Source organism: Homo sapiens, chromosome 1, assembly GCF_000001405.40.
Source record: "Homo sapiens chromosome 1, GRCh38.p14 Primary Assembly".
NCBI lineage: Eukaryota > Metazoa > Chordata > Mammalia > Primates > Hominidae > Homo > Homo sapiens.
This window is the reverse complement of record NC_000001.11, coordinates 180056611-180082216: the sequence shown is the minus strand read 5'-3', so window position 1 is coordinate 180082216 and position 25606 is coordinate 180056611. Positions and strand designations below refer to the sequence as shown.

Genomic DNA, 25606 nt, shown 5'->3' with positions numbered 1-25606 from the left:
ATAAGTGTCACCAATAAAACAGTATCTTACAAATGTTATTATTAATCCTTGGTGCATAACTCATGCAAGGATGGTTGAAACATTATTCCATTGCTAACAAATGAAAAAGATAATCCAGTATTGGCAAAGAAACTTGAAGAAAGTCACCGGTAAGTAAGAGATCCAGGATAAGAACCCATGTTTCCAAGTATTCAAGTTTATGTCTACTGACATGTTATTCTCTTGGAAGTAATTTTTCACCAACGTACATAAAAGCAAATATATAAAAACATTAGTAAATTTCCACAGAGAAATATGAGACAACTTTCTTCAACTGGCCTGACTCAATGATTCTATTCCTAAGAATCTATTCCACACTGAAATATACAAAAAGAATTTTTATTATACATGATAAACACACACATAAATGATATATGATATCACATACACATGTGAGTCATAATATTTTTACTACACCTTTTCTATGTTTAGATATACAAATACTTAACATTGTGTTACAACTGCATATAGCATTCAGTATAGTAATATACTGTACAGGTATTACAGCCTAGGAGCAAGAGGCTATACCATATGTCCTGAGAGTGCAGTAAGGCTACACAATCTAGGTTTGCCTAAGTTCATTCTACGCAGTTCATATAATGATGAAATTGCTTAATGACACATTTCTCAGAGCATATCCTGGACGTTAAGTGATGCATGACTGCATACATATGTGTGTGTAAATCTTTAAATAAAGATGTTTATTATAGCATTATTTGCAATTGTGAAATATTTAAGAAAATCTAAATAGCCATCACTAGGGAAACAGTTAAATAAATTATGGTACATCTACTCTTTGAAATATTATATAGTTACTCAAAGAAGAAAGAAGAGCTGTAAACATGGGTGTAGGAAAATTCCATGATTTATAATTGTCTGACACATGGAAAACAAAAAGGTACAACACATAATTAATTACCAAAAAAAACCCAAAGAATAACAATTTTCATGTTTCGTTTACTAAATGTTTACTCTCAAAACTAAAACTGAATTCAAAAAGCAGTACAGTGGGCCGGGTGCAGTGGCTCACGCCTGTAATCCCAGCACTTTGGGAGGCCGAGACGGGTGGATCACCTGAGGTCAGAAGTTTGAGACCAGCCTGGCCAACGTGGTGAAACCTCGTCTCTACTAAAAAAAAAAAAATACAAAAATTAGCCAGGCGTGGTGGCGGGTGCCTGTAATCCCAGCTTCTCGGGAGGCTGAGGCAGGAGAATTGCTTGACCCTGGGAGGCGGAGGTTGCAGTGAGACAAGATCGCACCACTGCACTCCAGCCTGAGTGACACAGTGAGACTCTGTCTTAAAAAATAACAAAAAAAGCAATACACTGAATATGCCTAACTCGATATATTCAATATGGCAATATTCAATATGGTATTAATCTTCTTCACAATCCTACATAAACTCACCACTGTCTGTCTACATATGCTTCCTAAGGTCAACAAACTCCTTGAAGCCTTTTAGAGTAAAGGCTGTTCAAATACAACACAAATAAAAACTCCTCATGATTAGTCTTACCTGACTGTGTCATAGATAATGACTCATCTGACCAACTATAACAGTGCTGATGGGACTTGATAGGCAGGTGACATTGTCCTCCAGTCCTATGACTTCCTTTGCTAGACTCCTGCTTTGACACAGATGTGCAGCTTTTGGGAAGTGACTGTTCAAACAGAAAACCAAATGGAAACTATTTTTTGATATAATTGTAAAATTCTATTTAAAATTTGACATACTAGCCATATAAAGATAACATTTACAAAGAATTTAAGATAACTGTTAAGACATAAGTGAAAAAAGTTTACAAATTATTCAACCTGGGAAAGCTGATTTTTAAAAAAAGGTTACAAATTATATAAAGGATAAGACCTCATTTTTTTTTGAAGGCATAGAAAAAAATTATAAAAGAGCATGGTTTAAAAAAGTTTTACAATAAATTAGAAGTGATTATTGTGTCAGTAATATTTACCGCCCCCCTCCATTCTTTTAATTTTAAAAATACTCAGTATGTACTACTTTTACGGAAAGGAGAGAGGAAGGGAAGAAGAAAACAGAGCGTAAGAAGTTTGCCCACAAGAGAACAAAAGACAAAATTTCTATCCTGACATCAGGTGGAAGTGAGATGCCTGATTTGATTCCTAGCTACTATCACTTCCTATCCCTGTGACTTTGGGCAAATTTCCTAGCTTGGGGATTAGAACAGTATCTATTTTATAGGATTCTTGCGAGGGTTAAATGAGATAATCCACGTAAGGCACTTGGTAAGTACTTCGTAAATAAACACTTAATAAATATTAGCTTTTATTATAAAAACCACTTTAAGACATACTAGTTTTGATTTCCTTGATATATTTTCCTGTGAAAAAAGCTCTAATTTTTAATAGCCAGTTTGTGGCTATTCCAAGCCTCATCAATAATGATGCTAGGTAGAATCTAATTGATTTATAAGAGATAATAAACTTTTAAGATTGTATAAAGGCAGTTTGATTGTAAATTCCTCGAAGGTAGAAATTTACGGAATAAAAGATAATGCTATAAGTAAATTATCTATATAAGTCTAATATTATCATATAATAAGAAACCACTAATATAATTATTAAAAGCCTTTAATAACCTAAAAATGCTGATTTCAAGTATGTGCACAAGGACATTGAAATATTTTTTAACATAATATTTAATAGGCTCTTCAATGAATAAAATATGTTTTTCTTCTAGATCTTCTAGGTGCTGTAACACAAATGAACCTGATTGACTTTTCAATGGGGAAACAAAATTAATTCTTTCTATCACAATAAAAATGGAAGACTCCAACAAAGAATATTCCATTCTGAATTTGGGCAGATCTTTTTTTAAACATAAAGAGGCTTTAACAACATCTGTGTATACTTTAGTATACCACAGTATACTAAATATTTAATATTGTTATGCTAATTATTTGCTATATTAAAAAAAAAAAGAGTTAAGTTTCTATCTTGAGTTTTTACCAGCTAGTTTTTTTTTCTATAAAGTACACGATTAAGGACAATGTAGAAAATCTTAGTTTAATAATGGCCATCATCTTAATTTAAAATCAATAACTGTTTCAGAGCTGCCTTTAAGAGGCTAAACCATTACTTTTATTCTATGAGTTATACATAAGTTATTAATTCAGTTACAGTAAAGGTACTCTGGTGTGGTTTAAGATCTTACTGTTTTTGTTATGTGAAAAAACAAATTTCAGAAAGAACTTGTGTTGTTCCTACAAACTGTTTTTCATAAAGACTTTAGAAGTTCCTATTCCCTCAATATTCACAGACTTGATAGCAAATGATTTTATAACCTTCACTAATGCCAAAATTCATATATTTGTAAATGAAAAGCTTTATTTCTATTCAAATGTTATATCCTATATGTTACAAGTATGGTGACAGTTAACACTGTCATTAATTACAATAATATAACTGCTAACATACCTTTCAGTTTTTTTTCTAGAGAATCTTTAAGATATAAATATACATTAACTTACATGTTTACTAGGAGAGGTAGAAGATTCTAGTTCCTGTGAACAAATCATTTCTTCAGTAAGTATACTGTGATCTGGACTCCCTGGCTGCTCCTGTCCTATAGACTCGGATGGTACATATTCAACAGCAGGGCTGCCTAATTCTTCTGGAATGGAGCTTTCACTGTTTAGATGAGAGTACAGAGGTACTGGAGATTCCTCTTCACTTGCTATTTCTAGACAGAGAAGGTGAAAACAAGAAAAAAAAGATACAATCTTGGTCAATGGGAAAATTACACTAATAAACATTGTTTTTAGCATATTATTACTTACTGCATTTTTGTCTCCCACAAACAGGAGAGTCATAGCTTCCACAGATGCACAGATCTATTTCTGGGTTATCTATTTCACAGTCTATTTGTCTCTCTCTGTGCAAATGTTATTATTTTAATCACTACACCTTAGAAGTCTTGATGTATGGTAAAGTAAGTTTCTGCATTTTGTGGTTCTTTAGTAGTGTCTTTGCTTTTTGGTCCTTGTTCTTTCATGTAATTTTTTTTTTTTTAAGATGGCATCCCGTTCTTGTTGCCCAGGGTGGGGTGCAGTAGCATGATCTCGGCTCACTGTAACCTTCGCTTCCCGGGATCAAGTGATTCTGTTGCCTCAGCCTCCCAAGTAGCTGGGATTACAGACACATGCCACCACACCCAGCTAATTTTTGTCTTTTTAGTAGAGATGGGGTTTCACCATGGCGGCCAGGCTGGTCTCCAACTCTGACCTCAGGTGATCCACCCGCCTCGGCCTCCCAAAGTGCTGGGATTACAGGCGTGAGCCACCATGCCCAGCCTCATATAAATTTTTTAATGAGCTTGACAAAGGTTTCCTATGAAGAAACCTTGCTGGGTTTCTGATGTAAATAGTCTTGAATCTACAGATCAGTTTAAGGAGAATTAATATCTTATGACACTGAATCTGTGAATATGGAATAATGTTCCATTTATTTTGGCTTTTTTTTTTTTTTTTTTTTACTTTTTGAGACAGGGTCTTGCTTTGTCACCCAGGCTGGAGTGCAGTGGCACGAACAGGTCACTGCAGCCTCGACCTCCCAGGAACAAGCAATCCTCCTGCCTCTGCCCCCTAAGTAGCTGGGACTACAGGCCTGCGCCACCATGCCCGGCTAATATTTCTGTAGAGGCAGTGTTTGGTCATGTTGCCCAGGCTTGTCATGAACTCTTGAGCTCAAGTGATGTATGTGCCTTGGCCTCCCAAAGTGTTGGGATTATAGGTGTGAGCCACTGTGCCCAGGCTGTTTTGGTTTTAATGTCTCCTAATAAAATTCTAAATTTTTCTATATAAAGATCTTGTACACTTTTTGTTAAATTTATTCCTAAGTACTTCATATTTTTTGTTTCTATTATATATTGTTTCTATTTGTATCTTTTTTAAAAAATATATTTTTCTAATCAATTTTTGCTGATGTATAGATATGCAATTGAATTTTGTATATGAATTTTATAACCAGAAACCTTGCTAAGCTCACTTATTAACTGTAATAATTAACATGTAAATTCTGGATTACCTATGTGTATAGTTTTATTAACTGTAAGTAATGAGAATTTTGCTTCTTCTCACTCCTTATAGCTTTTAATTCTTTTTCTAGCCTTAAATGTACTGTGTAGGACCTCTACACAATGCTGAACAGAGCTAAAAATAAGCCTCCTTGTCTTATCTCCAAATCCAAAAGAACTTTCTATATTTTATCATTAAGTACGGTATCTATTATAGGTTTGGTTTTTTGTTTTTGTTAATACCTTTTATCAGGTAAAGAAAGTTCCTTTCTATGGCTACTATGATCTGAGGTTTATTTATTTTATCACAAATGCTTTTTATTTTTATTGATTCATTTTTTTGAGACAGAGTCTCACTCTGTCACCCAGGTTGGAGTGCAGTGGTATGATCTTAGCTCACTGTAACCTCTGCCTCCTGGGCTCAGGTGACTTTCATGTCTCAGCCTCCTGAGTAGCTGGGACCACAGGTGTGTGCCACCATGCTCAACTAATTTTTTTATTTTTGGTAGAAACGGGGTTTTACCATGTTGCCCAGGCTGGTCTCAAACTCCTGGGTTCAAGTGATCCACCCACCTCAGCCTCCCAAAGTGTTGGGATTACAGGTGTGTCTGGCCCACAAATGCTTTTTAAATTTTATCAAATGTCTTTCTGAATCCATTGAGATGATCAATTTTTCTCCTTTAATCTGGGTAAGGTAATTCACCACATTATCAACTTTTTAATGTGTGCTAATCCTACTCTGTCATTAAGTATTAGGATTTGCATATATAGTTGAACTTGGTGTGCTAATACATAATTCAGGATAGGTAAGATTGGCCTTTCCTTTTCTGATACTGTCCTTTTATGGACATAACATCAAACTTATATACTAGCCTCATAAAATGAGTTGAGAAATGTCTCTTTTTCTATTCTATGGAAAAGTAAAGAACTATAATACCAGGTTTTCCCCCAACTGCCGCCTTTAATCTAGTATACTGGTAAAGATGGATGAGGTCTATGTAAAAAGATGCTTAGTTACTGGGGTACAATTCCTTTACTGGTGAAAGAATCAGGAGGGTTCTCTTATCTTACTGAGTAAGCTTTGGTAAGTTGTATTTTTTAGAAGAATTTAGCCATTTTTTCTAAGTTTTCAAGTTTGTATTGGAATAAAGTTATTACAATTTTTTTTTTTCCTTGAGATACGGAGTCTCGCTGTTGCCAGGCTGGAGTGCAGTGGTACGATGTTGGCTCACTGCGACCTCCACCTCCTGGGTTCAAGCAATTCTCCTGCCTCAGTCTCCCAAGTAGCTGGGATTACAGGTGTGTTCCACCACACCCAGCTAATTTCCTTTGTATTTTAGTAGAGACGGGGTTTCACTGTGTTGTTCAGGCTGGTCTCAAACTCCTGAGCTCAGGCAATCCACCTGCCTCGGACTCCCAAAGTGCTAAGATTACAGGCATGAGCCACCGCGCCTAGCCACAATTTTTTTTTTTCTAATTTCTCCAGCATTTGTGGTTATATCATCTTTCTCATCATTTGCATCACCTCAATCATTTGCATTTTAATTTTATTTTATTTTTAGAGACAGAGTCTCACTCTGTCACCCAGGCTGGAGCACAGTGGGGTTGATCATAGCTCTCTGTAACCTTGATCTCAAGCAAGCCTCTTGCCTCAGTAGCTAGGACTATAGGCATGTACCACCACACCCAGCTAATTTTTTAATTTTTTGTAGAATCAGGGTCTGCTATGTCATCCAGGCTGGTCTTGAACTCCTGGCCTCAGGCGATCCTCTGGCCTTGGCCTTCCAAAGTGTTAGGATTACAGGCGTGAGCCACTGCGCCCAGCCTCGCATTTTTAAAAGTAATGAAATATATCTTTCAATTATGTTAGGCTTTAGTTTGTAGTGTGAACAGAGTTAGTATTTATTACCTTTCTGTTCTGTTCTCTGGTCCTCCAGTTCTTTCTTAGGAGTTTTGGGTTTTATTAATTCTTTGTCCCAGGCAGCCAAAGCTTGTTTTTCCATTTGACGAATTTCTGCTTCTTCTGCATCTAAACGTCGCTTCCACTCTAGGAGCTCCTCTGCATGTTGTCGCCGTTGCATTAATTTTTGCTCCCGCTTTGTCAGAAACCTATGGTCACACCATGAAGAACAGTTTGAGAGAAAAAACCTATATGCAGAGATCACTTTGAGAGCTCTATCACTCACCACCTTATCAACAAGCTGTGCAAAAGCAGAACATTCATACTACTCTTCTCTCTGAAAAAAGCTTGAGATAATAGAAGCTTTCATGAGTCAACTTGTTCAGAAAATGAGGGAATTTATGTTTTACTCATAATGGTTTGTAAAGTTAGCAAAGGAAAGATAACAGTATATTCAGGAAAAAAACCTTCAGAATATCTAGACAACCATAATTGATAATGTTCATATTTAGATATTCATTTTTTGTAGGTTATTCTTTTCCATAACAGAAGATGTAAGGAATGTATTCTGAAGGCTCAGACCAGAAAACACACAAAACCCGAAACAACAAATACCAAAAACAACAATAAAAAACAAACCCCAAAGCCCCAAAACAAGCAAGCAAACAAAAAACATGTTCATGTCCCTTTTTTACTTTTATTTTAAATTTCTGCCTGGCTTTGTTTCAGGTCTAATGAGTTTTGTTTCTTCATTACCTAAGAGATACAATGTCAAGTGGTAAATCTTTTTTTTCATGGAGAGAACACTGAGTACCACAGTCCATGTCTTATGCATATAAACGTAACTATTTATTTACTTGAGTAAAGGGATGCATCAAATTCTCAATTTAACCTGATTTCTGAACTTAAATAGCCAATGATATCTTAGGCCCAGAGGGTTAGGAGAAATTACTGAGTTAGGAAAAATTACTTAGTTTAGAGGCTACTAATAAACCATCTTCAAATGTAGATGCCACAACTAAATAAAATGTGGGCTGCTCACATTACTAGTGTTACATCTATAGTGGTAGCTAACCAAGAAAAATGCGTACATGTATCGCACAAACACTTACTAAAAAGCACAAGAAGAGCTGTCACTCTACTTCTTGAGCCATCATCATGTCAAATTAATGTGGAAACAAAAGGTAAAATTTATGGGACATTTGATAAGAGGCCTCCAGGCTATTAAAAAAAAAGAGAGAGAGAGAGAAAAGCAAACAAAACAAACAAAAAGAACAGAGCATGCTCTATCAAAGAGTGCACTGAAAAAGGTGCAAAGTTACCTGACCAACTGGTTGTAGATATACAGCTGGAATTTGGGATGAAGGTTGGGAAAACAGACACTGAGAGAGGCCCAGTGATGAGACGTAAAGACAGAGAAGAAGTAGTGAACAGGAGAGCAGTGTCTACAAAATAAGGAGGAAGATTTTAAAAACAAGAGATCAAGAGGCAGGAAGAATGAGAAAGGGAAAGCGTAAGAGCTGAGTGAAGAACTTTTAATATGCTTCCTGAAGAACATTATAAGTGACTCAGTTAAAGCAGGCATTACACTCTGTGTGACATTTTTAAAAGTGTATTTTTATAGATCTTACCAATGATTCCTGAATAAACATGCCTTTCTTCTCATATGTTGCTTAACCACCATCTATATTTTCAGTTAAATTTACTTATTTGTAAGTAAAGTAATAAGAAGTACATTGTGGGACTAAATTAGTTTTCAATTAAGCTTTAACAGACAGTACAACAATTATGGCCATGAACCTAGTATATCAGCAACTCTACACACATATGTAATCCTGAGCAAGTGATTTTTAATCTGTACCTCATCATGTATTTTAAAATACTACATTTGCCTTACTTAACCTTACCATCACAATCTAGCTTGAAAATAATACAATTTAGTAAACTGATTTACACAAAAATACCTTGTTCACCTCCACAATATAAAACTTACTGCTAACAGGACCTACTGGAGGTATCTTGCTTTATATCTAACAAAGGCCCACTTAATTAATAATATTGAAATACACTATCCATTCTATAAGATATCAGGATGCATAATTAATAAAGTGAGCTAGTCCCAATAAATAGTCAGTAGAAAAAAAAACCTGATATGGACAGCTCAATCATAAGGTTAAAGGTAAGAAGAACATTCCATTTTACAGTTATAAAAGCAGGAAAAAACATATTTTCTTCTTTTGTAATAATAAATAGATCCGTGCGTGTGTGTATGGATTAAAAAGTCTAGTAGTACCTTTGGAAAGGTTAATTCTCTTTGACAGAGCATGCTCCTGTTCACATGCACATGACAATAACTTGTAGATCAAGGCAACATTTATTGCCTTGGAAGGGCAAGGAGTAATATCAGTATGTCATAGAAGTGAGAAAATCTAGGTATAAATCCAGCCATTCACTTGGATTTGTAAAATTATGTATAATCTTGCCTATGTGTATTTTTAGACAACAGACTATTTTAATGTCTGTTTCCTCACATATAACTTAGTATTTCATTTCCCCTTCACTTACACACACATACACACACGCAAAAACACACATATTCATATCTGGATTGCCTTGATTTTCTGCACTGAAATTCAAGAAAAACAGTTTTGCTAAATTTCAAGTTAAGACATTACAATCTTCCTTGCCATTCTTTATGAACGTACAATAAACTTATTTTGATGCCAATTATCAAAATATTATGCAAAACAAAGGCACTTGGCAAAAGGCTCAAAAAATCTATTCATAACATTCAAATATCACCCACCCTCTTAAGTGTATAACTGCTAAATGCATGCATGACCTAGTACAAAAAGTAAAATAATATTGGAACACGTGAAATAAACTTTAAAAATAGACAATTTAAATTTTTTCTCTAGCCCAACACAGAGACCAATAATTTTCCTCTATTAAAGATTAAGCATATTCCAAAGCTCTAGTTTAGGAATGAGGAACGAAATAACTAATAGAAAATGAAAATAGTTTAAAAAACAGAGTAAGAAAAGTTTAACTTAAAGTTAGAACTTCTTTCCATAAACATGTTCCTTATTAAATATAAATACATCCTTATATAAGGAGTGTAAATATAAATACATTCCTTATAGGAGTGCTCTTTAAACGTTGAATAAAGTTGAGATGAAAGAGCATTACTTCACAATAGAATTAATAATCCTTCAAGATGCTACACAGGAAAGAAATAAAAATTGTGAATGATGGAGACATAAATGCCGACTAATACAAAATGCTTTTGATTGATGTCAAGGCATTTCCCCAACAAGTCCTCTGATGGTAACGGAACACTGGACAAGAATAAGATATACAACAGATTTAGTCTAGTATGGAAATCATTATGTTTCTAAAATGTTTGAACTTAAGGAATTAATGAGTACTTAATTCGCTCTTTTTTTTTTGAGACGGAGTCTTGCTCTGTTGCCCAGGCTGGAGTGCAGTGGCACCATCTCAGTTCACTTCAACCTCCACCTCCCAGGTTCAGCGACTCTCTTGCCTCAGTCTCTGAAGTAGCTGGGGTTAAAGGCACCTGCCACCATGCCCGGCTAATTTTTGTATTTATTTTTTTAGTAGAGACAGGGTTTCACCATGTTGGCCAGGCTGGTCTTGAACTCCTGACCTCAGGTGATCCATCTGCCTTGGCCTCCCAAAGTGCTGGGATTACAGGCCTGAGCCACCGCGCACAGCTTAATTCACTTTTTAAATTTTTTTTTTTTTTTTTTTGAGATGGAGTTTCACTCGTGTTGCCCAGACTAGAGTGCAATGGTGCGACCTCAGCTCACTACAATCTCCGTCTCCCGGGTTCAAGAGATTCTCCTGCCTCAGCCTCTTGAGTAGCTGGGATTACAGGCGCGCATCACCACGCCCGGCTAATTTTTTGGATTTTTAGTAGAGATGGGGTTTTACCATGTGGGCCAGGCTGGTCTTCAACTCCTGACCTCAGGTGATCCACCCTCCTCGGCCTCCCAAAGTAGTGGGATTACAGGTATGAGCCACCGTGCCCGGCTTTATTCACTTTTTTTTTTTTTTTTTTTTTGAGATGGAGTCGTGCTCTGTCGCCAGGCTAGAGTGTAATGGCATGATCTTGGCTCACTGCAACCTCCAACTCCCTGGTTCAAGTGATTCTCCTGCCTCAGCCTCCCAAGTAGCTGGGATTACAGGCACGCGCCGCCATGCCCAGCTAATTTTTGTATTTTTAGTAGAGATGGGGTTTCACCATGTTGGCCAGGTTGGTCTCGATCTCCTGACCTCGTGTTCTGCCCACCTCGGCCTCCCAAAGTGCTGGGATTACAGGCGTGAGCCACGGCACCTGGCCTTAATTCACTTTTAAAGTCACACTTTCACACTCTGAACTTGCTCTGTACAGCTATTCAACTCCAGTAATTAGCCATCTAGCACTTTGCTAATTTCAACAAAATACTATTTAGAAGGATCAGTTTCTAATGAAGATAACTTTAAGTCATCAATTTAGGTTTTAAAAAAATCTATGAGGTTGAAAGCAGATACGCTAACTTAACTTTGACTTTAGCTAGCTGAACTCTGGAGAACAGAGTTCTAGTTTCAGCTCTGCCATTCTGCTGTGTGTGTGTGACCTGAGGAAAGTTACATAAACTCTGTGGGCCTCAATTTCTTCATGTAAAACAAAGGGACTTTATTTTATGGCTTCCCTAAGAGCCCTTCCAATTTTAACATTTTATGACTCTTTCTCCGTTGGAATATTTCCACTTATTTTGTACCTCAAAAGACTGCCAGACCGTGTGACTGCTAGACCATGTGACGTTAAATGAGACCTTTTGTTGCCCACCGAGCTGATATAATTGTCGCCTGCATTCTAACAGATTATAAAATCATTCTATAATTTGAATAAAATTATAAACTAAATTTTAAGTGGAACTCCTAGGTCTAAAAATCCTTTCATTATAAAAGATATCGAAAACAAAATCTTAATACCTTCACAGAAGAAACATTTACAGTTCTATATTTGTTTAGGATGTTACTGTGCTTCCATTATCATTTGTTTCTCCATTGGAATACCAAGGAGTCCATGGATACCCTGGAATTGCATGTAAAGTTGTATATATGTGTGTACATACATTTTTCTGAGGCAAGGTTCCAAAACATTCATCTAATTTACAAGCGAACTCAAGATCCCCAAAAAGTTAAGAATCACTGCTCTATTTGTACTGACCTTGAAGAAAATTATTGCTGCTTTATTAGTGAATCCTTATGCAATGCTATGTATCCCCAAACTAGTGAGACTACCTAGCTAAACTAAAACACTACTTTTTACTCTTCCCAAAACAAAACTTACAAAAACTTAGTACCTTAAATCATTTTATTCCTTCTGGGTTTTTAATTCTATTACTGTTATAATTAAAAATGGAACATAGTGCTTTACATTTTAAAATGGATTCTTTTGAGTACTTTAGCATCTTTAATAATATAAAAACAGGAGGATAAATGAGGATACAGATAGTTCTGACTGAAAAGAAAATGTAGCTTAGGTATGATTTTCTATAGCAAAATCTATTCTATTACTTAAAATTATCTAATAATTTACATACACCTAAGTAAACAAAATAATACAGCACATGATTCCTGACCTAGGAATTCCTGCAGAGAATAAAAACAAAGTATCAGACTATCAGGATTTATTCAGCTACTACACATAGACTAGAATGTTGTCTAAGAAATTTCTATTCAATTTGAGGCAATGCTATTTAACATTATTATTTAAGACAATCTAATTAAAATATCTCCTTTAATGGAATATCAAAAGCCTTCTCTTGAAAATCCTTCATTTTTAAAATTCAGATTAATGGTGAAGATTTCGACATTGATCAGACACTATAATAAGTACTTTTGGACAGAGAAATGTCATAAAATATTTATTTGCTTAACTTTTTGATCAATCATTTAAAACCAAATACATTAATTTTTCTCCTTTAACAGTTTTGTAAGCCAACTGGGAAGTGTAAAAGGAGTATTTAAAATGTTTTGTGACTAAAGGCTTCATCTTTCTATGCTACCTCGGTCTGCAATGAATGACCAAACCAAAAAATAGCTAAATACTTTCTGCCCCTTCTTTTTATGTTTGAAAGTACTTACTAATTCAACAGTATATTTAACTCCCTCAGGAGGCTGAGTGGGGAGGATCACTTGTACTGAGGAGTTTGAATCCAACCCTATCCTGGGCCACATAGTGAGACTCTTAAAAAAGTACACTCATCCATGAAAATGTCCTTGACATATATCATACTGTCAGTAAGAATTTCTCTTTTCTGAACTTCCTTAACAATTGATCTAGATATACTTCTCTATGTGAAGCTGTCCTCATTCTTTTTTCTGTCTACACTCTAAGCTTGAGAACAGGGCTTAAGTCTGATTTATCTTGGTATCCCTCAGCACTTAGCATACTCACACATTAATCAATAAACAATTGCTGAGAGAGTAAGTGTATAATTAATAAATAATATGGAAGAAGAAGCTACTGTTAACAAATGAAAGAAAAAATGCAGTGTCCTATTTTAAGTAATGAAACACTTAAAGATGAAGAAAACTCCATTCTTTCAGTGTTTCACTTGTTCCATAAACAGGAACAGTCAATTGCATGGTGTTTTTTCATGAATATCTGTTTCATGTTTATAGGCAATCCACTTAAATTGTAAATAATATCCCTCACAGTAATAAAACTCAGATTTCACTTAACAATAAAACCAAAAACATTGAGAGCTATTCAGTTCATGGCTTAGATCTACTGTATGTCTTTTGCAAACATGTTTTCATTATTATTAATGTCTTTCACATTTTGAATATTATTTTTTGCTTTTTACTATACTGATAAATGGAAATTATATGACATTTATAAAATGTCTACTCAACAAAGAGGTCAAGAAAAGCCATATGTTAGGAATATAACATATGGTTTTTAATATTCAACAAAGGCATTACTGTCTCAGTAAAATATTAAAAAAGGAAATCTTTCACTATAGCCAAAAATGATATGATCACTTCAGAAAAATATCTGTCATATAATCAGAGTTCAGAAAGTTATAAAATGAAAAGGTTCCCACTAAAAACTAGCTAAACTTACTGAGAAGGACGACTACTCTTTGGTGATTTATAACAATAAAATAGGAATGACTGCCTTTGCAAATCTATGGAACAACTAAGTTCCTAGTCATGAAGTAGCAGAGGTTCAAATGATTTTGTTGTTCACGAAGTAGCAGAGGTTCAAATGATTTTGTTGTTAGGTGTCTACCATAGCGAATGACTATGAAATTAACTGACTTCCTATTTATTGAGCTGACACTCCAACATCATTGAAGGAGATCAAACTATGGTGCTCCGGTAATATAAATGGTATTTAAAAGCTAGTTTTCACATTACTTTGTTTCAGAGACCAAAAAATAGTATATAACAATATTCTTCCTTTCCTATGCACCACCAATTTCGGAAAATACTTTAGTTCATCCTCAGATTTCTTTTTTTTTGAGACTAAGTTTTGTTCTTGTTGCCCAGGCTGGAGTATGGCGGCATGAGCTCAGCTCACTGCAACCTCCCCCTCCCAGGTTCAAGTGATTCTCCTGCCTCAGCCTCCAGAGTAGCTGTGATTACAGGCATGTGTCACCAGGCCTGGCTAATGTTGTATTTTTAGTAGAGATGAGGTTTCACCATGTTGGCCATGGTTGGTCTCGAACTCCTGACCACAGGTGATCTGCCTGCCTCGGCCTCCCAAAATGCTGGGATTACAGGCGTGAGCCACCAGGCCCGGCCTCATCCTCAGATTTCAGCACCATCATTCAAACATTTCTTTGCCACTACTGCCTTTACTCTATTCCTATCACAAACACAATTTCATTGCCTCAAACAGATCAAAAAGTCACTGAATGCTCCAATGCCTATTCTCCTTGACAAATCTCTCAAAAATCAATTGCCATAGTTGTCAAGGAAAGGTAGAGGAATAATACAAAAATTCTAGGTGATTAATATTTTGGAGTCTATGAAAATAATTAACAAAATTTGGAACAAAGTCAATAAATCCAAACTTAAACTTGTTATTTAGGATTTTTAAAATTTTAAATCAAATCTGAAATAAATAAGCATCCCAGAAACTAACTGACCTCAAGGTCAGACTGGAATTAAGTTTTTTCTACAAAGGTGGTTAAATTAGGATATCATTCTTAGAGACTGGCAATGAAGATTTTACTGAAATAGAAGAGCAAGGGATCAATGAAGAAATCACCCTGACACTGTGTTCCCCCAACATTTACCATTCAAAGACATTTGTAGCAGATCTACAATGTCAAATTAGTGATAAAAATCTATGAGAGATTATTCTAATTTTGAATTCAAAGACTGCTGGAACAATACAGTACGCCCATATAGGCTACTGGAAAATTTTATCAGGAAAGGAAGAAAGCATCTTTAATCTAAATTTTAATAAATTCCTACTTGAAGAAGCCTTAATCAGTCTATCCCATGGAAATCATCCAAAAGGAACATTCATTCATATATTTGTCAATATTTGGTTTCACCTCTTATATTTTTAATTTTTAAAAACTGTATTTTCAAGACTTATTTTCATAATCAATTTAGGTATTTTTAAGTTATGAAATGCCGTTCTTGCAATGAAGTGCCAATATAGAACTGCACCTACAGAAAGTAAGGATTTAACTTACAACTCTTGACTGTTGCAAAACAAACTAAATCACAGATTGATTTAACATATAAACATAGAGCATTATTAAATTTGGTGATGTGTGGTATACTGCCAAAGGTTATCAAGTTAAAACTTAAATTCAATCTGCAGTAGTTCAAATTGCGAATTTAAAATGGTAGTCAGCAAAAATTTCTAATGAGTCTCTTCCATATTTAATGGGTTTCGAGGAAGCTAGATATGGGGTGGAGGTTACAGAGGCAAGAATAGAGTCCACAAGCAGCTAATTTTTAACCGTATTTAATTAAATATACACCCCAAAGAGTAAAGTCTCACATAAATTTCATTTTATATGGTCAACAATGATGTACAACTGAGCTATATCTAAGTTGGAGTAGCTTTCTTTAAGAGTCTTTACAAAATAATTCTTAGAACTATTTTAGAAGAATGTTAAGACTTTCAAATCAACATTCCTGGAAAATTTCAGCCTTTCTGCTTTCAGCTAAGGAACTCATACCTACTCACCAGGTTAAAATTTCATCTATTTGAATAAGCCTGAGAGATGCCAGAGAGTCACAGGATGAAACGTCAGGATATACCATTAGTTGCTTCCCCAAATTAGTAGAAAGAAATTTTATTGAAAATTTCTTTAATTTCTATAAAATTAAAATTTTATAGAAATTTTATTGAAAGAAATGCCTTTCTTTCAATAAAAGAAGGGAAAACTTTGTTATGGGTACATGTGCAGATACTTTTTTTTTGGGGGGGGACAGGGTCTAGCTCTGTCACCCTGGCTGGAGTGCAGTGGCACAATCATAGCTCACTGCAGCCTTGATCTCCTAGGCTCAAAGGATCCTCCCACCTCAGCCTCCCACATGGCACCATGCCCAGCTAATTTTTTTTTTTTAAAGACGGGGTCTCACTACGTTGCCCAGGCTGGTCTTGAATTCCTGGGCTCAGATGATCCTCCTGCCTCAGCTTCTCAAAGTGCTGGGATTATAGGTGTGAGCCACCACTCCTAGCCTTGTTTTTCGGTTTTTTAAAGTAAGAAACCTGCTCGTATTAAAATTGTTTTATAAATAAGATCTACAGTTAATTGGCTTCTAGGTTAATCTAACAATTCTGCTAAAATGCTACTGAATCCATAAAATATTTTGTCTCAATCTAATCTAGTGAAGTATTATTACAAATGTTATTTGTTGTACTACTTTCAATGTAACTAAACAAGAGATATTTATAAAAAACAAATACTTTTCATCCATGCGGCTTCTCATTTTCTTCAGTTTCTGCATAATGCTGCTAGTTTCACTGCTGGAGATTGAAATGGGAGAAGGACTGCGGGTCTCCAAGTCAGTTGGACCAGGACTGGTTGCCTTATTATCCTTTGTATCATCATCACTATGAGAGTCCTGCAAACAAAAAGAGGCAAAATTGTATTGGACTTTAATAGGACCTTGAAGCCATCATAATACTGTCAATTCAAAATTAAGTTTATCCACAATACAATGTTTATAACAATAGTTGAAAATAAGATAATAAAGGACAAAATATATCACACACTTAAAAATGGTTAAACTAGTACATTTCATATTATGTATATTTTTACCACCATTTATATATAGAGAGAAAAAGAGAATATCACAACATGTAATAATTTTAAAAAAGAAGAAATGTAAGAAATCCAAAAAAGCTTCTGCTATTAGTAATCTAGTATCTGCACATCCTCTCTGAGATTTCAAAGTTGGACCACTCAAAAGGAATAAAAAAATTAGACTATAACTATATAAAACATGTATGTACAGACACAAAGAATGACTGGAAGATGTAACATTTATTTTAATCATACTAGGGCATGGGTTTTTTCCTTTGAATATTCCTTATGCAAAACAGTGTTTTCAAAAATTAAAAAAGTTTGTAAAGAAAACATTTGGAAACTATTAATCAATACATTATTTCTGATGAGCAAAAAGTAAAACTTTAATTGCTTAGTATGTTTTCCCCACAAACAGTCATTTATTCTCCTAACTTTTCAGGAAGATGGGTAGCAACAGTAATGACTGTTTTTATTTTGTTTAAAAAAAAAAAGTAGAGCCCTTGAGCTTCCCTTTCTTCCTCTTGAACAGTTAAGTCTTATAGTCATTGGATGCGACAGAGCAAGGCGGGCATCTTAGGGGCTGAGGGACACAGGAGGGCAAGAGTGGGGTCTCAGAACCTGAGTAGGATGAAGAGGGCATCCAATGCAGGAGGGTGGCCGGTAAGGGAAATCAGAGCCCAAGAAGGCCAACAAGAATGTCACATGGAAGTGACCCCCACACACAACTGCAAGCCCAAGCACAGTGAGGATGGCCTTACCACAGAGAACTTCCTAGCACAAGAGCCAGAGTCCAAAGAGAGCAAGGAAGAGAGGGTGTGAGGAGATGGGAATAGCCCAACTTGGGGAGTCAGAGCCCAGGTGGAATGAGAAGGGCACCCACTTTCAGGTAGTCTGCAGATTAAGTGGTAGTAATGTATCAATGTTAATTTGTTGGCAACTTACTCTCAGATAACTCAGGATAATAGAATTTTTTGTACTGTTTGACATTTTTCTGTAAGTTTGAGATTTTTTCAAAATTTAAAGTTTACTTTAAAAATCAAAGCAGAGCATATTAGGAATTTTAAAAATTATACTGCTATACAGCCTGGGTTTTCTCACACTATAATGATTTTTTTTTGAGACAGGGTCTTGCTTTATCACCTAGGCTGGAGTGCAGTGGTGTGGTCACAGCTTACTGCAGCTTTGGCCTGCTAGGCTGAAGCAATCCTCCCACCTCAGCCTCGCAAGTAGCTGGGACTATAGGTGTATGCCACCATGTCCAGCTAATTTTTATATTTTTTGTAGAGCTAGGAGTTTCGCCCTGTTGCCCAGGCTGGTCTCAAACTCCTGAGCTCAAGCGATCTGCCCACCTAGGCCTCCCAAAGTGTTGGGATTACAGGTGTTTGAGTTACGGCACCCAGCCCTACATTGACATTTTATAGTACCTTAGAATAGGTCCACTGGACATGGTGGCTCACACCTGTAATCCTAACACTCTGGGAGGCTGAGGCAGATGGATTGCTTGAGCCCAGGAGTTGGAGACCAGCCTGAGCAACATGGCGAAACTCCATCTCTATAAAAAATACAAAAAATTAGCTGAGGGTGGAGGTGCATGCCTATAGTCCCAGCTACTCGGGAGGCTGAGGTGAGAGGATTACCTAACCCCTGGGAGGTCAAGGCTGCTGTGAGCTGTGATTGCACCATTTTATTCCAGTCCAGGTGACAGAGTGAGACCGTGTCTCCAAAAAAAAAAAAAAAAAAAAAGTTTCAAATTTTGTTTTTGTCTAATATCTCCTTTGAATCATGTATCATCATATTAAAGTTGGATAGCTAAAATGAGTATCATGTAAATAGTAAAACAGTCTCCCCCATTAATTCTGAAGAATTTGTTTGGATTGATAAATAAGAGCAAAGCCCTCTGTTCCAATTTAGTTTGTAAGTGAAAAATATTCTAAATTAAACTAATATTGTATAAGAACTATGTGGCCCTTTCAAAATTTGAATATTCCATAGGAAAAAAATAAAACTCTCACTATACATTAGGGCATTGCTACGGTTTGAATGTTTGTCCCCTCTGTAACTCATGTTGAATCTTAATTCTCATTGTAACATTAAGACAGTGGGAAATCAGACTATGGTATTTGAGAGGTAGAACTTTTGAAAGGTAATTAGAAATAGATGATGTCATGAGGGTTGGACTTTAGTGGCTTAATAAGAGAAGAAAGAGGGGATTGAGCTAGCACACTCAGCCCCCTTGTCATGTGATGCCCTGCATCACCGCTTGGGACTCTGCGGAGAGTCCCTACCAGCAAGAAGGCCCTCACCAGATGTGGCACCTTGACCTTGAACTTCTCACCTTCCAGAACTGTTAAGAAAAAATTTTGCTCCTTTATAAATTACCCAGTCTTAGGTATTCAGTTATAGCAACAGAAAATGGACTAAGACTGGCCCATCCATAGAACTTTATCCTAGTTCATTATTGTATCATACTGCTTGAATGAATATTATCTTAGAACATGAGACAGGGTTAGATACCGACAATCAAAATAAGACAGGAAACAAATAATAACTTCATGTAGTTTACCAATTTACTCTCCCCTGCAGACTTCAATTTCTCCTGTAGTTTTATGGTGGTCTGTCGGATCTTTTCTATCTCCTCCTGCTGTTTAAGAATCAGCTGTCTTTCCTTCCGAGCTGCCTTATTGGCTTCTTGAAGACGTTTTATTTCTGCCTAAGGTTTAAAGAGTTAAGAGAGGGATTAAGATTGGGAGAAGACAAGGCCAAAGTAATATTTAAAAAAAAAATCAGCACATATATTAAAAATAAATACATATAGTATTTTATAATAAAAGTAGTAATACTGAAAAGTTTAAAAAATAGTGAGGGAGGAAATAAATCATATATAATCCCACCATTCTAAAATAATTTAATATGATCTCTTAATTTTAAATTATAATTAGATTGATAATTTCATATCCCATTTTAAAACATAACATATATTTTACATTTTTCCATAATGCTACTCAACGTTTACACTTACTAGTTTAATAGCTGCTTATCAAGTAAACTAATTAATGTAACTATTATTCTATTGCTAAACTTTTAGGCCCCTATAATGTTTTACTATCTCAAATAATGCTTTAATGCCCATAGCTGTTTCATACCATGGATTAATTCTTTAGGAGAGATTTCTAAAAGTAAAATAAACAAGTCAAAGACAATGAATCATTTTATGGTTCTTAAAAACAGTTTTTAAAATTGCTTTCAAAAAAGGACTGCCCCTGTCTACAATGCTACCAGAAACATTTAAGACTACATTGTACCAATATCTCTCCACACAGAATACTGTTTTCAGTTGCTATGTGGGCAGAAGATAATACACTTCACTGCTAATAATTGTCAAAATTTAACAGATAATCCTTTTTAAAAAATAAATTTGTTTTAAATCTGTTTTCTTGGCTGGGCATGGTGGCTCACACCTGTAATCCTAGCACTTTGGGAGGCCAAGGCAGGCAGATCACTTGAGCCCAGGAGTTGACTAGCCTAGGCAACATGGTGAAACCCCACCTCTACAAAAGACACAAAAATTAGCCAGGCGTGGTGGCACTCACCTGTGGTCCCAGCCACTTGGGAGGCTGAGGTGGGAGGATCAACCTGAGCCCAGGAGGTCAAGGTTGCAGTGAGCCAAAATCATGCCACTGCACTCCAGCCCAGGAAACAGAGTGAGACCCTGTCTCAATCAATCAATCAATCAATCAATCAATGTTTTCTTATCAATAAAGCATAATAAACACATTAAAATTTGTTAGTTATAATTATTTTAATCATTGAGATTTTTCTGAAACTACCTTAAAATGCAAAAAAGTGCTTTATAAACATCTACATTTCCAAAACACCAAGTTAACAATTGTTAATATTCAGTTATATTTTCTCCTAGTCTTTAATCCTGTAAAGAAATAAAACATTACAGATAAAACTAGTCTGCAATCTTGTGCCCCAACTCCTCAGAGGTAACAACTATCATGGGTTTGGTATCTATCCTTCCAGCACATTCTTTTTAAATTATTCTAAAAATATTTGTGCTTATCTGCAAAAAAAAAGATATACTATTTGGTTTGTATGTTTAAAAATATTTTATAAATATCATATGTATATATTTTAAATCTTGCTTTACTAGATATCACTTTTGATATTTCACCATGCTAATTTACGCCTTTTAATGCTGCATAAAATTACAGTGGAGAACCATATATTTATCTCTTACCCATGTATGGTGGGATTATTTTTATTTTTAAAATTTTTTAGAGTCAAGGTCTTGCTCTGTTGCCCAGGCTGGAGTAGTACAGTGGCTCAATGCAGCCTCAAACTCATGGGCTCAAGTGATCTTCCCACCTTAGCCTCCCAAGTAGCTAGGACTACAAGCACGTGCCACCACGCATAGCTAATTTTTATTTTATTTTATTTTTTTGTAGACACAGGGTCTTGCTATGTTGCCTAGAGTGGTCTCAAACTCCTGGCCTCAAGTGATCTGTCTTTGGCCTCCCAAAGCACTGGGATTATAGGCATGAGCCACTGTGCCCACCCCATATGGTGAGATTTTAAGGTTGTTCTTTATTTTTCACTATTGTACAAACAATGCTGTAAGTGAAGAGCCTTATACATTTTGTCTTCTTGGGCACATTTATAAATTTTTCTGGAGTAGCAGTTCTCAAAGTGTGCTCTATGAAATCCCTGGAAGTCTTGAGACCCTGTTAGGGGACTCTGAGCATCAAACCATTTTTTATAACACTAAATACATTGTTAGCAAATATATTACTTGCTCTTTATTCTCATTCCCTAATGAGTATACAATGATTGTGTACATTTTAAAGAAAGTAACTATATTTTCCAAAACAAAAAATAATTTAGTGAAAAGAATGATATTTTAGAGTTTTGCAAATCTCTTTATTGTCTAGCTTGATTTTTTTTTTAACATTGTGCACTGGTCACTGGGAAAATGTTGGTTCACTAAGTTATGTGGATTTTCTAAATGTTGACACACTTCATTATGCAATATCAAACAGTTATACTCATGAATATCACCATTAATCTCAAAAGAAAAATTATTTTGGGTGGGCAACAGAAATTTTTCAAAATCCTGACTTTTGTGTGAAAGCTTGAATTTTATCATTGGCAACATATATTGTCAGTTATTTATTTGAAGTGACAGGGATACTTTCTTTGTTTTTAAGAAAAACATTTGTCAAACACTCAAATCCGAATTAGCACAGGTTGCCTTGAATCATTCTTTCAAGTAAAAATACTATTCCATGAAAAAAAAAAAAAGGCTCACAATTCAAACAAGTGCACAAATACTTCTTGAATTAATCACTATATTCTGGTATCGAGCAAAGATGTCTGATTATGGATTTCCCGTTTCTGTCACACAGAATACAAAAAAGACATGTACTCAAGAGTTCAAGACAATAAAATTAATAATTCTTACTACTCAATCAGGACATTCTAAATGAAACTTGCTTTTTTTAACTGCAAGTAAGTGGCATGAAGAATAAGAAAATTACCAATACAGTTTGGTGCCACTGACTTGTGATAAAGCACCAGCAGTTTTACTCAGCATTGTTTTCTACTATTTAGTACAAATGTCAACACAGTGAAAAGGGCAAATTCATAACAGAGTATCATTAAGAAAATAGTTTTGACCTTCCAGACCTGTGAAAGGGTCTTAGAGGCCAGAGTTTCACAGAGTACGTTTTGAAACTTCCACTAACTTAGGCCTGAGTTTCTGAACTAAATAATGTATAAATTCACCCAATTCAAGCCTAGAAGAAAAAAGAGACAACTTCTAAGGAATACTTGGGAAACAGGTTTGTCCCTCTTGTAAGAATAATTCATGAAGTTGTACAAATGAACTGTTCACTTTAAAATGGTGAATGGTGTAAGTGAATTATTCACTTTATTAAAATGGTTATTTTTATGTGTTATGAATGTCACTTCAGGGAGGGTAAAACGAATAAGACATAGGAAAATATGGTCTCTCTTTTTTGGATACGGTTGTACCAAATTGCTTAGAGCCAGCCATTTCACTATCAGTCAAAAGAATTCTTACTGCTACAGTTGCAAGAAATATCTTAGCACATATATTCTTACACTTTGGTTTTTTCAACATATAAGGCAACTTTTCAGGGGTAACCAATTGGATCAAAGAGTATATTTTGCATATTTACTTAAAAAATTCTTAAGTATTACAAAAAGAAAAAGTAGTCACTCATATCCCTACGACTGGCATTAAACATATTTAACAGTTTGCACATTTGTTTCAAATATGTTATTATCTATAAATAGATAAATACAGATGAAACCAAACTCCATGCCAATCTCTTCCTCCTTCCTCTCTTCCCCAGAAGTGTATCATTTCTATATGTGGTTTTTTGCTTTTGATGCATGAGTGGTTCCACAGAACATATACTACTAATTGGTTACTTTAAAAAAATTTATATGACTGGTATAATACTGTATATATTCTTTGCATCTTGCTTTTCTATTAAAAAGAACATTATGGTTTTTGATAAATGAAGATCTCATGCTACACTGTCCAATATGACAGCTTCTAGCTACATGTGGCTAGTAGCTACAGTATTGGACAACACAGATAAAGAAAATTACTATCATTTCAGAAATCTCTACAGACAGTGTTGATATCTAACACATTCAGTTTCCTGCAGTATTATACTTTCTTGCAAGAATATGTTTTATTTCATCTATTCTTTTATTGAAGAAATTAAGTTGTTTTCATTTTCCCTTGAACATATGTGAAAGCTTTTTTAGGATATATACCAAGACAGAACTGCTGAGTCATATATTATATATGTCCTCAACTGAACCAGGTAGTGGCAATTGCTCTCAACTCAAAGTGGTTACACCAGTCAACACTCTAACCATCCACACAGAGCCACAGTGACAAAACTAGGAGACTCAGGAGATCTCAAACTCACATTCTCCTCAAAGCAGTTGTCAAGTTCTGAAGTAGCACATAGAGGGCTAAGGAGTTAACCCAGAAAAGTCTCAAAAGCAGGGCAGAAATCCCCAGTCTCTTGTGCTGAGTAAAAAGTATTATCTGGGTTTCCAGTGAATCCCTGGAGAGCCCCAACCTAGGGATAATGCAGACCAGAAGTAGACTGAGGCTTACCAACTCTACAACCTAACCCTAACCCAGCACAATCTTTGAATGAATTAAGATGAACAGTTGATAACTCTAATAAAATAGCAAAAGAAAACTCTCATAAAATAGCAAAAGAAAGGATAAATCCTCTCTGGGGGAAGAGACCATCAGCTGGAGCCTTTGCAGTTATTTATATAACTGTGACTAGTATTCAACAAAAAAATTACTAGGCATGCAAAGAAAAGGGGCCATACGATAGTTTAAAAAAAAAAAAAGAAAACAGACAATAGTAATAATAGAGGCACACATGGCCACATACAAGCAGACAGGGAAGAAACAGCAGTCAAGAACATTAAAATAACTATGGATAATAAGTAGAAAAAGAAAAGTAGGCCAGGCACGGTGGCTCACGCCTGTAATCCCAGCACTTTGGGAAGCCAAGGTGGGTGGATCACCTGAGGTCAGGGGCTCGAGACCAGCCTGGCCAACATGGTGAAACCCCGTCTCTACTAAAAATACAAAAAAATTAGCTGGGTGTGGTGGCAGACGCCTGTAATCCCAGCTACTCAGGAGGCTGAGGCAGGAGAATCACTTGTACCCGAGAGGCAGGGGTTGCAGTGAGCCAAGATCGCGCCATTGCACTCTGGCCTGGGCAGGAAGAGTGAAACTCCATCTCCAAAAAAAAAAAAAAAGAAAGAAAAGTAGATTAAAGGGTAGAGAATTTCAACAGAGTCAAAATCTATTTTAAAAAGAATAAAATTGGGTATTATAGAACGAAAACAAATCGAATTAAGAACTCACTGGATAGACTTAGCAGCACACTGGGCAAAGTAGAGGACATACTAATGAACTCAAAGACAGGTCAATAAAAACTTTCCAAACTGAAGCACAGTGTTTTTAGTTTTTAATTTGTTTTAAGGAATGAAATACAAACAAGACAGAAGAGAGGGATGTGGCAAATGGTCAAAAGGTCTAACCTATGTCTAATTGAAGTCCCTGAAGGAAAGGAGAAAAAGAATGAGGTAGAAGTGACCAGGCACAGTGGCTCACACCTGTAATCCTAGTACTCTGGGAGGCCAACGTGGGGGGATCACTTGAGTCCAGGAGTTCAAGACCAGCCTGGGTAACATGGCGAAACCCCATCTCTACAAAAAATTACCTGGCACTGGTGGCGCACACCT

General features: G+C 35.7%; 1 protein-coding gene across 27 annotated transcripts in view, besides 1 other annotated feature; it reads right to left on the bottom strand.

The window, feature by feature from the left end:
• Nucleotides 1-25606, bottom strand: part of CEP350 (centrosomal protein 350) — a 160066-nt gene that overhangs the window by 32659 nt on the left and 101801 nt on the right. For 14 of the 27 annotated variants that reach the window (NM_014810.5, XM_047435442.1, XM_047435459.1 and 11 more), the window contains 5 exons: nucleotides 19851-19997; nucleotides 16945-17102; nucleotides 6996-7195; nucleotides 3543-3754; nucleotides 1556-1700 (listed from right to left, as the gene is read on the bottom strand). In NM_014810.5, the coding sequence (NP_055625.4) occupies nucleotides 1556-1700; nucleotides 3543-3754; nucleotides 6996-7195; nucleotides 16945-17102; nucleotides 19851-19997 (862 nt within the window). Of the gene's footprint in view, nucleotides 1-1555; nucleotides 1728-3542; nucleotides 3755-6995; nucleotides 7196-8308; nucleotides 8432-16944; nucleotides 17103-19850; nucleotides 19998-25606 lie in introns of all 27 variants that reach the window. The other 13 variants (XM_047435433.1, XM_047435436.1, XM_047435384.1 and 10 more) reach the window with 3 other exon arrangements.
• Nucleotides 7237-7437: a silencer, noted in NCBI's record as "peak480 fragment used in MPRA reporter construct". NCBI's record gives its function as "represses an SCP1 promoter by STARR-seq MPRAs in K562 erythroleukemia cells {active_cell/tissue: K562}" and the evidence as "EXISTENCE:reporter gene assay evidence [ECO:0000049][PMID:32103011]".